Source organism: Homo sapiens, chromosome 5 (genome assembly GCF_000001405.40).
Source record: "Homo sapiens chromosome 5, GRCh38.p14 Primary Assembly".
NCBI lineage: Eukaryota > Metazoa > Chordata > Mammalia > Primates > Hominidae > Homo > Homo sapiens.
Window position 1 is genome coordinate 11,064,065 of NC_000005.10, and position 13,100 is coordinate 11,077,164.

Sequence of the window (13,100 nt, forward strand, 5' to 3'; positions counted from 1 at the left end):
GATAAGATGACTTTAGAACTTCAGGGAACTTGGGGGTGGGGAGGGCTGGAAGAAATGGAGTCCTCTTAGGCATTTATAGGAAGGTCAAGGTGAAGGCAAGGTGTGTTCCCTTCCATTTCTTTCCATTTCTTTTCTCCAAGTAAAGATACCAGCTTGTTTCAGCCAAGTTGTCGGGCTATTTTTATGCACATATTTGAGCTCCCTCTTTTCTGTGTTTAAAATAAGGAATCTCACACGCCTTGGAATTTAGAAAGAAAACTAGGCAGAGACTAGCATCTAGTCACCGCATAACTGAGCAGAGACTAGATAACAATCATATAGACTGTGAAAAGTCCTGAACCTGGAGACTTCATAACCAATCAGAGGCTGATTCCCACCATCCGGGAGGAAGAACAGGGCTCAGAGTGGAAGGATGAGAAGAGAGGAGTCTGCAGAAGATGTGCCTTCGAGATAGAGAACATTCCATGCGCTCCCTCCCCTCCTTCTCCGGTAACTGTCCCCACTCTTCACATGCAGTAAGGGTCACTTGGGATTGCTTATCTATTCTGCAGAAGACAAGACCAAAGTTGGCCTACAGCTGTTTAAACCCCCTACCTCATGCCTGGGTCTACCAGCCCTGTCAGCTCTACCATCTAAACTCATCCCTTTGTCTCTTGCCAAAGCAAAACGGAGATATAGTTATTTTTCCTAAAAGTTCATCAGAATGCTTAAAGGAAAGTTATAAAGTAAACAAATTTATAGGAAAGTCTGTGTACCTGTCAATCACACTGTTACTATCTAGACTGATTCCTTATCTAATTAGACTAACTGGGATTTTAGGCAGTGGTGATTTGTTTTTTCTGCACCCAGTTCAAGCTGGTCGCTCAGCTTCCTTCAAGCCACCTAGGAGCTGGTGGGTTACAGATTAACCAGTTGGAGGGGTGGTTGTGGTTGTTCTTGTTACTGCTAGTTATTGTCTAAGCTGCAGTTTTCCTGCATTTCATTTTTATTCTAAACATTTCTACATCTTCCACTCCATCTCTGCTTTGAGTTAACGAGGGGTGGAGGTGGCCTTTGGAGACAACTGGGAAGCTAAAATGCAGGTTTGCTAGAAGTCCTGCTTTAAGCCAAGCTGGAAGGATTTTATAACCTGATTCAGTCACCTGGGCCTTTCCCACGGGTGCCTAATAACTGTGGATGCAGCCATGATTATAAGTATGAGGTCACTCACCTACTTAAGATAGTTCTTTTGGAAACTGTACTTAGTTATGCAATGCTCAGTATTGTTTGTTGCTCACAGAACTTTACTGCTTGATCCAGTAGCACAGTCACACATATGTGTATACTTTAAATATTTATCCCCAGGAGCCCTGATACTTTGTCATTCAAATTCTTTTAGCGAGTGCTAGTCCTTTGCCTATCAGAAAGAAGCTCACTGAATAATTCCTCTATTTTCCCCTATGGAGATGCTTTAGAAAAAAAATACTCCCTTTTCTTCAACAAACATCCTTGCCAATATTCATCACCCACTCTATCTCTTTTTATCTGTTACCTCTTCCCTCTGAGGACTAAACTCTGATTTTTTTAACATGCCCAAATTCCTATCTAAAGGATTTGGGGAGTCATGCCCTACAAACCATAAATTCTCATCAGATGGGTTTATTTAATCCTATATATCGTGATTTACTTTCCAATTTGACTCTGGCATAACATTATGTGACAAAGAAGAAAGTCAAAATATTTTACCCCAAAACATGTTTCTTTGCCATATTTTGAAATGGTCCTGCAGAGCTGTCCTTTGTGAGGGAAAATTTGCATCTGTAAAGAATCTCTGCTAACATAACTAGATCTTTTTATCGCAGGCCCTCCCCATCCTGAAGAGATTAACTGAGAGTCTAGCACCCTTTAAAGGTCTGAATAGGAAACATTTGTCATCTATTGTCTCTAAGGGCAGCCATTATAAGACTTCAAAAGAACCTTGGTCTCCACAATCTTTTATCTTTTTTTTTTTTTTTCAGATGGGGTCTCACTCTGTCACCAGGCTGGAGTGCAGTGGTGTGATCTCAGCTCACTGCAACCTCCGTCTCCTGGGTTTAAGAGATTCTCCTGCCTCAGCCTCCCAAGTAGCTGGGACTACAGGTGCACGCCACCATACCCAGATAATTTTTGTATTTTTAGTAGAGATGGGGTTCCACCATGTTGGCCAGGATGGTCTCAATCTCTTGACCTCGTTATCCACCCACTTCAGCCTCCCAAAGTGCTGGGATTACAGGCATGCGCCACCGCGCCCAGCCTTCCACAATCTTTTAACTTAACCTGAGCATTTCCTTCCTATTGATCCCAGGCCTTTAGACAAGCTCAATCAATTGTCAACCAGAAAATGTTTAAATTTACCTACAGCCCCCCTCACTCCCTCCTCCCCCACCCTGACCCCTGCCATCCCCAACCACCCCCTGCACTTTGAGTTGTTCCACCTTTCTGGACCAAACCAATGTATTTAATTGATGTCTCATGCCTCTCTAAACTGTATAAAACCAAGTGCACCCTGACCACTTTGGGCACATATTCTGAAGACCTCCTGAGGGCTGTGTCATGGGCCATGGTCACTCATATTTGGCTCAGAATAAATCTCTTCAAATATTCTGCAGAGTTTGACTCTTTTCGTTGACACCTCCAAGACCAACAGCGAGACTCAGTGAGAGTGAAATACAATTGCAATCGTGTTCTGATGGGCTAAGCAAGCTGTCACAGAAGAAGGCAATGCTAATGCCAGAATGTGGTCTCAGGTCAATTTAGGAATATTCAAGGCAGACCAGAGAATTACTCCTTGGGTCTCCCACTGTCTATGTTTCCTTAGTTCAGCAGATTAGCAATCTGACCAAAAAGCAAGACCAAAGGTTTGATCTTCAAGGGGACTGATTAGCTCCTCCCAGTGCCTGATGCAGCCATATACCAACCCCAGAGTTATTCTGCACACAACACATGCTGTCAGTCAGGGCCTGGGGAAGGGACAGGGCCTGGGGAAGGGACAAGAGGGAAGAGCTTATGAAAAATCCTGTTGCCATGATTCAAAAGCAATTCAAAGCAAACACTGCCTCACATCCCCTCTATATATCAAAGAGAACACATTTTAAAAATCGTCCAGGTATTGATATAAGGTAGAGGAGAGTATAAGCAGAGAATAGTGTTTAAGAAGTGATACGTAGCTTTAATTCAAGAAAAGTAGTTCACCAAAATGCAGTGGTAATACTCTAGCATTTTTGGAGAATGGTCAAGGCAGGGTTATAGCTCTAAGTATTAAATTACATATTTTCTGTTTATTTTTCTTCTCCTTTGCTTGCTCACTGAAATGCTGAAGAAATACTTTCCTTACTCAACCCACACCTAAACAGAGACACAGCTTCAAAGAAACCATGGGCCAAAGCGCAAGAGGGAATAACCAGATGCTGCCTGAAGGATCAGGTTCTTAGGTCCCAGAGGTTAGCCAAGACTGGAGCTGGGAAAAGGTGCTGCCAGGAAAAGCAGCACCTCCAACCCTGTGGTCTAACCACCTTGGTCACGTGTAGGCATCCTGAATGGTGAGAAACTTAGACACCTTGAGTGGGGCAGGAAACCCTGCCCTCATTGAAGAATTGAGAGACTCCCTGGAGCCTTCCCAGACCCCTCTACAATTGTCAGTGTTATATTTGCATTTTAATGTTTACAATGAGCTCTTTAAACCCATCCTCTTGATTAAATTGGTCTTCAAACATAAGGGGCTTTATTAAGTGGAAAGGTAGAGACTTTTGCTGAACTGAAGAGGCTCATGATGTCTTCATCAAAGTGTGTGTTGTGAAAGATTATATTAAAATATAATATTCCTACTCTCTCTATATATAGTATTTGCAACAATTTAAGCTGGTTTTGACTCTAGGGATCAATGACATTAGTGGCAATGTTGGCTGAAGTTGGCTATTCCATTAGAAGCAACTATCCATTACATAAATAATATAAAGTTTGGATCAGCAATTTCTGGAACAAATTTTTTTGTCTTTTCTAATCAGAGAAATGGGATATCTCAGAGGAAAAATACTCTTAAGTTTAAACTTTAATAATTATAAAATATTTCCAAATTGGAAGAACACAGTTTTCCAAAAGATTAGCAGGCAATTTTTATTTATGATGGATCTTACAGACTCAACTCAGTAGTTCTCAACCTTGGCAAACTTCAGCATCCCTCAGGGAGCCTTGAAACAAGTACTCATATCTAGGTGGCTCTGGGTCAGGCTCAGGTGATTCCACCGTGCATCCAACTTTAAGAATGGTGTTCTTTAGAAAGGACTTTTTGTCTGCTTTGGTTTGCAGAGTAAAAATAAAGCATGTAGTTCTATTTTTATAAGTTTGTGGTGGTGATGTGTTCAAGTTAAGGAAAGAGAGTAGAGGGTAAGTAGGTCTCAGTTATAAAAGATGCTCTGGTATAGGTTATAATGGCAAACTGATTTAAATTACTTAGGAAATCTATGTATGACAATAAAAATTTGGTTTATAAAACCACAATATTATGACTTCAACCTATTATGCATTACAACACAACTTAATAAGAATCTACTAGGCCAGGCGCGGTGGCTCACGCCTGTAATCCCAGCACTTTGGGAAGCCGAGGCGGGCGGATCACGAGGTCAGGAGATCGAGACCATCCTGGCTAACACGGTGAAACCCCGTCTCTACTAAAAAATGTAAACAAATTATCCGGGCGTGGTGGCGGGCGCCTGTAGTCCCAGCTATGTGGGGGGCTGGGGCAGGAGAATGGCGTGAACCTGGGAGGCGAAGCTTGCAGTGAGCCGAGATCGCACCACTGCACTCCAGCCTGGGCGACAGAGCGAGACTCCGTCTCAAAAATAAAAACAACAACAAAAAAATAAGAATCTGCTAGACGACAGAACAGATCCGTTCTGGGGGTTATAGTAGCAAAGAAGGAAGACACTGTCCGTGTCCGTGTTCCCACAGAGCTCATATTCTAGCAGAACAGTAACTACGCAACGTGTATCTTCATCACAACATTAATACAATGCTAGGCATATTGGGGCTTTCAAAAGAAGCACAAAAAGTAAAAATAGAGAAAGGTATTGTTCTTATTCCTAAAGAGTGATCAGGTTAGAGGAGGAGATGACACTACTCTACTTGAGTCATCATGAACTTATGGTGTTGTACACAGCATTCCTTAAATTCCTTAAGTGCCAAACTCGGGGGGTATACAGATTAACACAAAGAAGTGTAAATAGGGCAAAAATAAATCTAGAGCACTCACAGAAGCTTGTAAAAAGGGTAGGGCCTGAATTTGTCTTGGAATATGGGTTAGGAGTAGATAGAAAAGGAGGTGAAAGAGCCATCAGGGTAGGAAAATGGCTGCCATGAGCCATCTAAGTGAGTTATAATGAAAATGTTATCCGTAGGGACAGAGGAGAGAGTGTCCAACTGGAAAGGAGGCTGTGAACTCAGAAATGGTACATATTGAGGATGGATAGAGACAGTGGATGTAAAATTATACAAGGCCTGAAAAATATAGGTAGTACAATGATCCAAAAAGCTGGCAGCTGAGCTTCACAGCAGACAGGGAAACAAAGGAAAGAGAGAGAGAGAGACAGACAGACAGACAGAGAGACAGAGAGACAGAGAGAGAGAGAAGAGACAGAGAGACAGAGAAAGAGATCTTATATGGCTCAGAAAACTGATAACTGGGCAATAGTATACGGAGTATAGAGAAATCTTTGGAATCTACAGGTGCTCAACTTCTGAGCCTAATGGTAGATTAAATACTGATCATGCTCTTGAAACATTTGCACTCAGTGGTAAACTGAATTTAACTGGGCTGCAGCTGGGCTGAATTTAACTAAAGCCCAGATATAGTTAAAGCATGCATTAGATTATCTCAGCCCTCTACCTTAGCAACCCCGTAGATGAAATGAGGTGCTTTTTAGGAGGAAAGAATTACCAACTTCAGTCTATTCAAATCTTTCAACATAAAACGTCCGGCATACAATAACAAATCACAAGACTTGCAAAGAAGTAAGACAATATGACCGAAAATTAAGAGAAAATAAAGTTATCATAGGCAAATCCACAATAATATAGATGTTAGAATATGTAGATAAGGACTTTATCTGTGATATATTTGTTAAATTATCTAGTGAGATAATGGACAACATGCATGAAAAAAATTGGTTAAATTCAGCAGAGAAATGGAAACTATAAGACATAACCAAATTGAAATTCTAGAATTGGAAAATACAATATCAGACAGGAAGGATTTATATAATGCCTTTATAAAGGATTGAAAATAGCACATGGAAGGACCAGTGAGTTTAAAGATAGATTACTAGAAATTATCAAAACTAAAGCACAAAGTGAAAAAGAACAATAAAAAAATCTTAAACTGAAGATCTAAGACCTACCTACAGGACAATATCATGTAGTGTAATATACATGTAATTGAATTCCCAGAAGGACAGGAAAGTGAGATGGGGTAGAGGAAATATAATAATCAATAATGACCAAGCATCTTGAAAGCAGGTAGTATAAAAATACATACTCAGGGAACAACAGTAACAACTGACTTCTCATCAAAAGCAATGGAAGCCATAAGACAACAGAATAATATCTTTGAAGTGCTGAAAAAAATTATTCTCAGAATTCTAAGGAGAGGTATCCTTTGTGGATGGAGGCAACTAAAGACATTTTCAAAATGACACAAAGCTGAGAGAATTTATCTTCATCAGACTTGCACTATAAAAAGTGCTAAAGGAGTTTCTTCAGGCAGAAGGGAAATTATATCAGATTTATACAAGTTTATTGCAGGAAGAAATGAAGAGGACGTGAAATAAAATGGAGGAGAGGTCTTAGATATAGTGTGTATATGGAGAGGGAAGAGGAGGAGTGCGTAGGGGAGGGGAGGGAGGAGGAAGGGAGGAGAGGAGAGGGGGAGAGGACAAAAAGGCCCAGGACACAGCAGTGACGTAAAGTGGAGAAGAAAAGGCCAAAGAGGGGAGAAAAATGGAGAAGGAAAAGAGTAGGAAGAACACTAGGAAAGTTTTATCTTAGGAACAAAGGTACGTGAATATGCCAAATGCTGCCGGAAGGTTCCAGCAAGTTTGGAAGAGAGACATATCTACTGCACTAAGAAGCACAAAGGCTCTTGGGGGCCTCAATAAAAATTTTTACTAAGAAAAAAATCAGGGCTGGGCACAGTGGCTCATGCCTGTAATCCCAGCACTCTGGGAGGTTGAGGCGGGCAGATGGCTTAAGGCCGGGAGTTCAAGACCAGTCTGGCCAGCTTGGCAACACCTTGTCTCTACTATGAATACAAAAATTAGTCAGGCATGGTGGCGTCTGCACCTGTAATCCCAGATACCCAGGTGCCCGAGGCATGAGAATCGTTTGAACCTCGGAGGCTGAGGTTGTAGTGAGCTGAGATTGTACCACTGTACTCCTGAGTGACAGAGCCTGAGTGACAAAGTGAGACCCTGTCTTCAAAAATTTTTTTTTCAAAAAACGAAAAAAAAAAATGAGGCAGCAGAGTTCACTTTGTGTCATTCACATCAGGAAACACTGACTAGTCTGTAACTGGAGTACCTTGCAAAGGTAAGCGTGGCAGCAGTGATGTGGGAGGGGGGAGTGCAGACTGGGTAAGAAGGGGCAGAGGGCAGGAACCCCCACAGAGTGCGCGTGTGTCCTGGGCTTGTCATGCTATGGGCTGAAACTGAAAAGTAAAATGCTGAGGGGTAGTAAAGAGAACTCAAGAAACTCCCTGGCAAAGTATCAATAAGATATCACACTTGGTTTACTCACTTGGGATAAAGAAAAGGAAGAAAAGAAAACAAGGAAAGTTTCTGTTCATTTCTATCACTGGGAAAAGAAGGCCAAGTAAAAACTGGGGTTTATGTTCGAATCTGAGGAAGAAAGGAGATGGTGACTGGAAAATTAAACCTAGTGAGTTTCTAACATTTTAAGAGGAATAAGGTCACTCCCATAGACACTGGGGGTATTAGTCTGTGGAGGTAATAGTCAATTAAAATGTAATACCACCAGTTTCCATTTCATCACTATAACTTTCCTTTCTGACCAATAAATTAAACTGTTCAAGTCTCAAGGTGAGGACCACAGGGATTTGTATCTTTTGATCTCTCTTGAGCACTGAATAACCTCTAATGTTAATGTTGCAGTCTTAGTGAGCCTTAATTGAAAGTAACACACTGCACATTAACATATATGTGCATCAGCCCAGGCTATACTGCCTGAAGTTCAGTAGCCTACATCAAATGATAAGAAACATACACTCACTTTGGGATTGAAGGCTATTATATGCTTAGGAAATAAGCCACTCTATGCTTCAAATCCATTCATTTTACCTGACATTGCTTAAGTACATTATAATACACGAAATTGAATAGGAAAATTTTGTTTTAACTTTAAAAAACCAAGTTTCCCAAATGGACAGTATATTGTTACGAACTTTCTGGTTATGAGAGAAACAATGTCCGAATTTCAACTAATTTTCTTGAATGAACTTTCAGGACATTTTCATGAGGAGCTGTTGGGAATTGCTTGATTCTCTCACTCAATGTCCCTTTGACTGGAGTCTGGCAGGATGAACAACACGAGCTTTTTTCTTCTTCAGGCAATTGGTTTAGGAGCAGAATCTGTGGTTGCTGCTCATGCCAGGTCACAGACCAGCATCCCATATCCGGCCTCAGGCTGCCCAGACACTGGGACACTGGCGGGGCTGCATCTCCAGGCTTCTGTCTCCTTCCTGGTCCCCTGGTGTATGCCCGGGGGCTTGCGGTGCCCTTCCTGCTAGGCTGGCTGTCCCCTCCCTGCTGTCTGCCTCCTTCTCTTCTAACTGCCTTATGCCCCCAAGGGCAGCACCACTGGCCCATCTGATTGATGGCACCAGCCTGGAGCCTTCCTTTTAGCTGAAACCCAATTACAGCTGTCCTTGCCTGCTCCGTAATTTTTTGAGATCCAGTATAATAAATATAATCAAACATCAGCCAGGATGGTTTAAAAAGAATTCATCTTTAAACGTTTAAACTCATTTCTAATCCATTAATTTTTAGTATTCAAGAGTAAAAATAATAATTTCTTTCCACCTGATTGAGACTTTTGTTTTTAACAAGGAGAGAAGATAGCAGTCCACACATAGAAGGGAATACAATGTAAAAACATTATCCTGCAAACGTCTATTTTCTGTTTTTATATTCTCAAGATTTGGCTGTGGTATTTGAGGAGAGCCATTTCATTTCTCATGCATCCTCTTTTCTAAAGCTTTTCTTCGGAAACTGTTTGGCCAGACATAAAATGAACACCTAAACAGTCCAAATAAAGTTAGGTCGGCTCTCCGTCTCTTGCTCTCTCTTTGAGGTCTCTAAGCCTTTGGGCAGAAGTCCTGAATTTGAATCAACTGGAAATGTTTCAGTTTTGTCTTTTTCCCCACATGGAGTATTTCCAAGGGACAAATCATTAATTCTTATTTAATAGAATAATGATTGGCTCTTCAATTTATTTATAACTTCCCTTTTAAGGAATTCTTATCTTCCCGACCCAGCTGCCAAAATTCCCCAAAAGGTGTCCCAAGTTAATTAACAAAGAACCCATGGCTTCACCGAAAAGGGAGGCAGCATTCATGAAATTAGGTTCTGGGGTTTAGGAGATGGGAGCTGTAACATAGGCACCTAATCTGAAGATACAAAGTTCCAGCCAAGGTACAGAGCTTGCCTTCTGTCTAAAATGTGGCTTGTGAAATCAAGTTATTAAAACAAACCAGCAGAGAGTGCTCCAACAAATCACTTTGTCTAAGAAATAAGGTTTCTTTTTAAAATACTAATTGAAATTCCAAGTGTTCTAATAAAAACGACATCTGTCTGGGTCTGAAGAAACATATTTTGAAAAGCAGAGAAGATATGTCTCTAAAATTTCCTCAGATCAACGTAATAAAGTGAACTTACATATTTCCAGTACTAAAAACAGCACGTTGCCTTCCTGGGTTGCACTGGACTTTCCACAGCCTTGTATCTTTCCCTGGACGGAGGTGGGATTCGTCAGGGCCAAGAGCACAAGTAAAGAAGGTGCCTACAGTGCCACGTGATCAGTGACCCTCAAGAGGTCTGTTTCCCAGAATGGAGCACCCATATCCCAGAACGTTCTGTCACGTGCCAGCCATTAGCATGAGACGCAAAAATAAGAAAACACATGGGTATCTATTTTAACTGATAGGACTCTAAATGTTTCTTAGAGCCCTCTGTTTCTCAGTTTCGCCAGCAGACAGTGGGGGTGCAATATGATACTCTGAGCATGGAGAGGATACTGACTCAGGTGCGTTTCAATCCTAGACTGTGGAATTTAGACGGACTTTGAGGAATGATGTCCTGAGTATCATTTGTAACCATTTGTCATTGAAGTGGAGACACAGCTGCAGGGATCTGTTCATTCCCCAGTTCATGCTCTCATCATTGAGGGTTTGGTTAAAAAGGTATCTCAAAGCTTCCATGAAGAGCAGTATTTCCAGGTTTAGAATTCCTAGATTCCATTATAAAGCTTTATATGTAACATTCAGGACAGTATTGATATAACGAAGATTTTCCCTGTTCTCACCACCCCTCACTCCAGTTCTCCAAAGGAAAAAACATTTCTCACTAAGTAAAGACCTGGCATGGAGGAAGGAGTATTGTAATTCTATGGGCATCACCGTTTTCTTTATTCAGTCTTTATTTTCACTCAAAGACAGAACATTTTTATGTCGTCCTTTAAATATCACCAGGAATCTTTGTCCGGAAACAGTCTTTACAATGTGCAGATCAAATCTATTATTTGAATATTTAAAACATTGTGGTAAGTAAAGGAAGCTTGAAAGGATGGCCCTAATTCCCCCTGCCCACCCCCCACCTCCTTAACCCCCAGAATGAATGAAAAGGATGATCTAAAGATCCATGTGGGGAAAGGAATAGCAATGATTTTTACTACTTAAAAAATAATAAACTCCCAGGCAAGAAACCACCCTTATTTTGTTCCTGATTTTGTTCACGTGGGAAAACATGAGTTGTGTAATGCTCACTACACAGGGGGGCGCTGTGTAGCGCCCTTCCCTTCCATCTTGGTTGGTGGATGCCTGTGTTTGAGAAGCAGCAGATTCCCCCTAGGAAATGGCCCTATTCTGACCCCAGAGAAAGTCAGATCCCATCTTGTGCTCCTTTTGAGGTTGGAATGGGGAGAGAAGGCATTGGCTGGACAGAAGCTCAGCTAGTTGGTAAAGTGAAAAGAAAGCCCAGCGTGAAAAGTGGATTATAGAATAGGAACATATGGGGGCGTCAGTCAAAGGAAGATTCTTACACAGCCTCCCCAATGTGGTGAAGCAGCCATCCAAATGGGAGCAGAATGTAGGGAAACAGTCCTGCAAAGCACAGAAGGATGAGGCCAAAGGATGATGGCAAACTGGGAAAGGGCCAGGCTCATGACACGGAGGATAGGTCCTTCTCTTCAGCCTCAGGAGGGTGCAGGGAGCTAGGAGGATGCTTGCAGCATCCCAGCCCTGGTTCGCCTGCTGGAAACTGTGGCAAGTTGCCACCACCCGGGGCAGCCAGTGGAGGGGCTCTGTGAGCTCCGCCAGTACCCGCAGGGATGCGGTGGCCCCGCCAACAGGAACCTTTGGCAGTGATTGAATCACACACAGAAAGCATTACTATTTCCTTTCCAATCTCAAGCCTCTTCCACAGTGGCAGCAGAATGAGTTTGATTAGAGTCTGGATTTGAGAGAGCATCTAAGCTTTATTTCTTTCCTCTGTTCTCTGGACACCGTAGAAAGAGACAGACACAGACATCCCTCTACCCCTTCCTCTCTCTATTTGGATTCCCCAAACCTCCTCCAGATCTGCTCTTTGAATAAATACGCTGTGTTATTTATCCACCAGTTAATTCATTCAGCAACTACATACCGAGTTCTTGTTATGAGCATAGCAAAGTGCTAGACACTGTCAGACATAAAAGTAAATACATCACCTGATGCTTGCTTATTATTTCATTTGGGGAAGACATACGCATACACAAAAAACATAAGAGACAATGTGAGGATAAAATTACACAATGGAAATCTAAAACAAGTGAGAAGGTTTCTTATCAAATAGGTGCTGCCCACTTCAGCTCTGGGTGCAGGGAGTAGCCTTTATCAGGAAAGGCCACTGCAAGGTGGGCTTTGAATGGTGGTGGCAGGTAGTAAATGCAAGCTCATGTTATGCTTTAAATGTTTGGTTTGAGTTTGTTTTGTTGGCAGAGAGGATGGGATTTGCCTAAAATAAGTGTCTGCCATCTACACCAGGAACTGTCCATGTGCCGAAATGGGTGGCATTTTGCTAAACTTTCTGTTGAAGCAATACAATATTGTTTGCTCTTTTCACTGATGCTAATTATTACCATTCCTTTTTTAAACCTTCCATACTCAGAAGGATAATTAACATTTTTTGAAGGTTGCAAAGAAATGTATGGATGTGCATTAACCTCGGCTACTATTCTATGCCAGTAGGAAGAACACAAAGATCTATCTATAGCATACTTATTGCTGTTTCCCAGAGACATACACATAACTATGGAAACAACCCAAATGGAAAGCCAAGGGAGAGGCAAAGCGTGTTTCATTCTGCTAGTGCTACTGTATGATTCTCATTAGACCTCATGGGATAGGGTGATTATTGTTCAATAGCCTATTTAGAGTTTCCCCGATAATGGAGTCTAAGAAAGATGAATGATTCCTTAGCTGCAATTGTGGAGTCTGCTTCCCCCAACCTCTCATTAAAAGAATGATCTACGAAGAATTCTATTTTAAACTGAAAATCCAGAACCAATGATGGAAAAGAAAGGGATTCTTTCTGAAATCCTGAGTGTCTGCATGCATCTAGTAAATTTATAGAGAAAAGAAACTGGCTGTTTGATTCTTGGCTTTTTTAATAGAAAACCCCCCTTTTTTAAGTTAATGTTTTATTTAATTTCCTTAATGTTTTGCTGACTTGGAGGTCATTTTAAGATGACGACAAGCAGGAAATATTCGGTTCAGTCATTTTTTTTCTGGCAAATATTTATTAAGTCCCTACTACAGATTG

The 13,100-nt window shown here is 41.5% G+C and overlaps 1 protein-coding gene across 12 annotated transcripts in view, besides 2 other annotated features; it reads right to left on the reverse strand.

Moving 5' to 3' along the window:
• Positions 1-13,100, reverse strand: part of CTNND2 (catenin delta 2) — a 932,611-nt gene that overhangs the window by 92,229 nt on the left and 827,282 nt on the right. The gene's annotated exons all lie outside the window — the stretch shown is intronic.
• Positions 1,271-2,198: an enhancer, noted in NCBI's record as "OCT4-NANOG hESC enhancer chr5:11065447-11066374 (GRCh37/hg19 assembly coordinates)". NCBI's record gives its function as "activates a minimal SCP1, AML or CMV promoter by ChIP-STARR-seq in naive H9 embryonic stem cells {active_cell/tissue: H9 hESC(naive)}" and the evidence as "EXISTENCE:reporter gene assay evidence [ECO:0000049][PMID:30033119]".
• Positions 4,839-5,429: an enhancer, noted in NCBI's record as "NANOG-H3K4me1 hESC enhancer chr5:11069015-11069605 (GRCh37/hg19 assembly coordinates)". NCBI's record gives its function as "activates a minimal SCP1, AML or CMV promoter by ChIP-STARR-seq in primed H9 embryonic stem cells {active_cell/tissue: H9 hESC(primed)}" and the evidence as "EXISTENCE:reporter gene assay evidence [ECO:0000049][PMID:30033119]".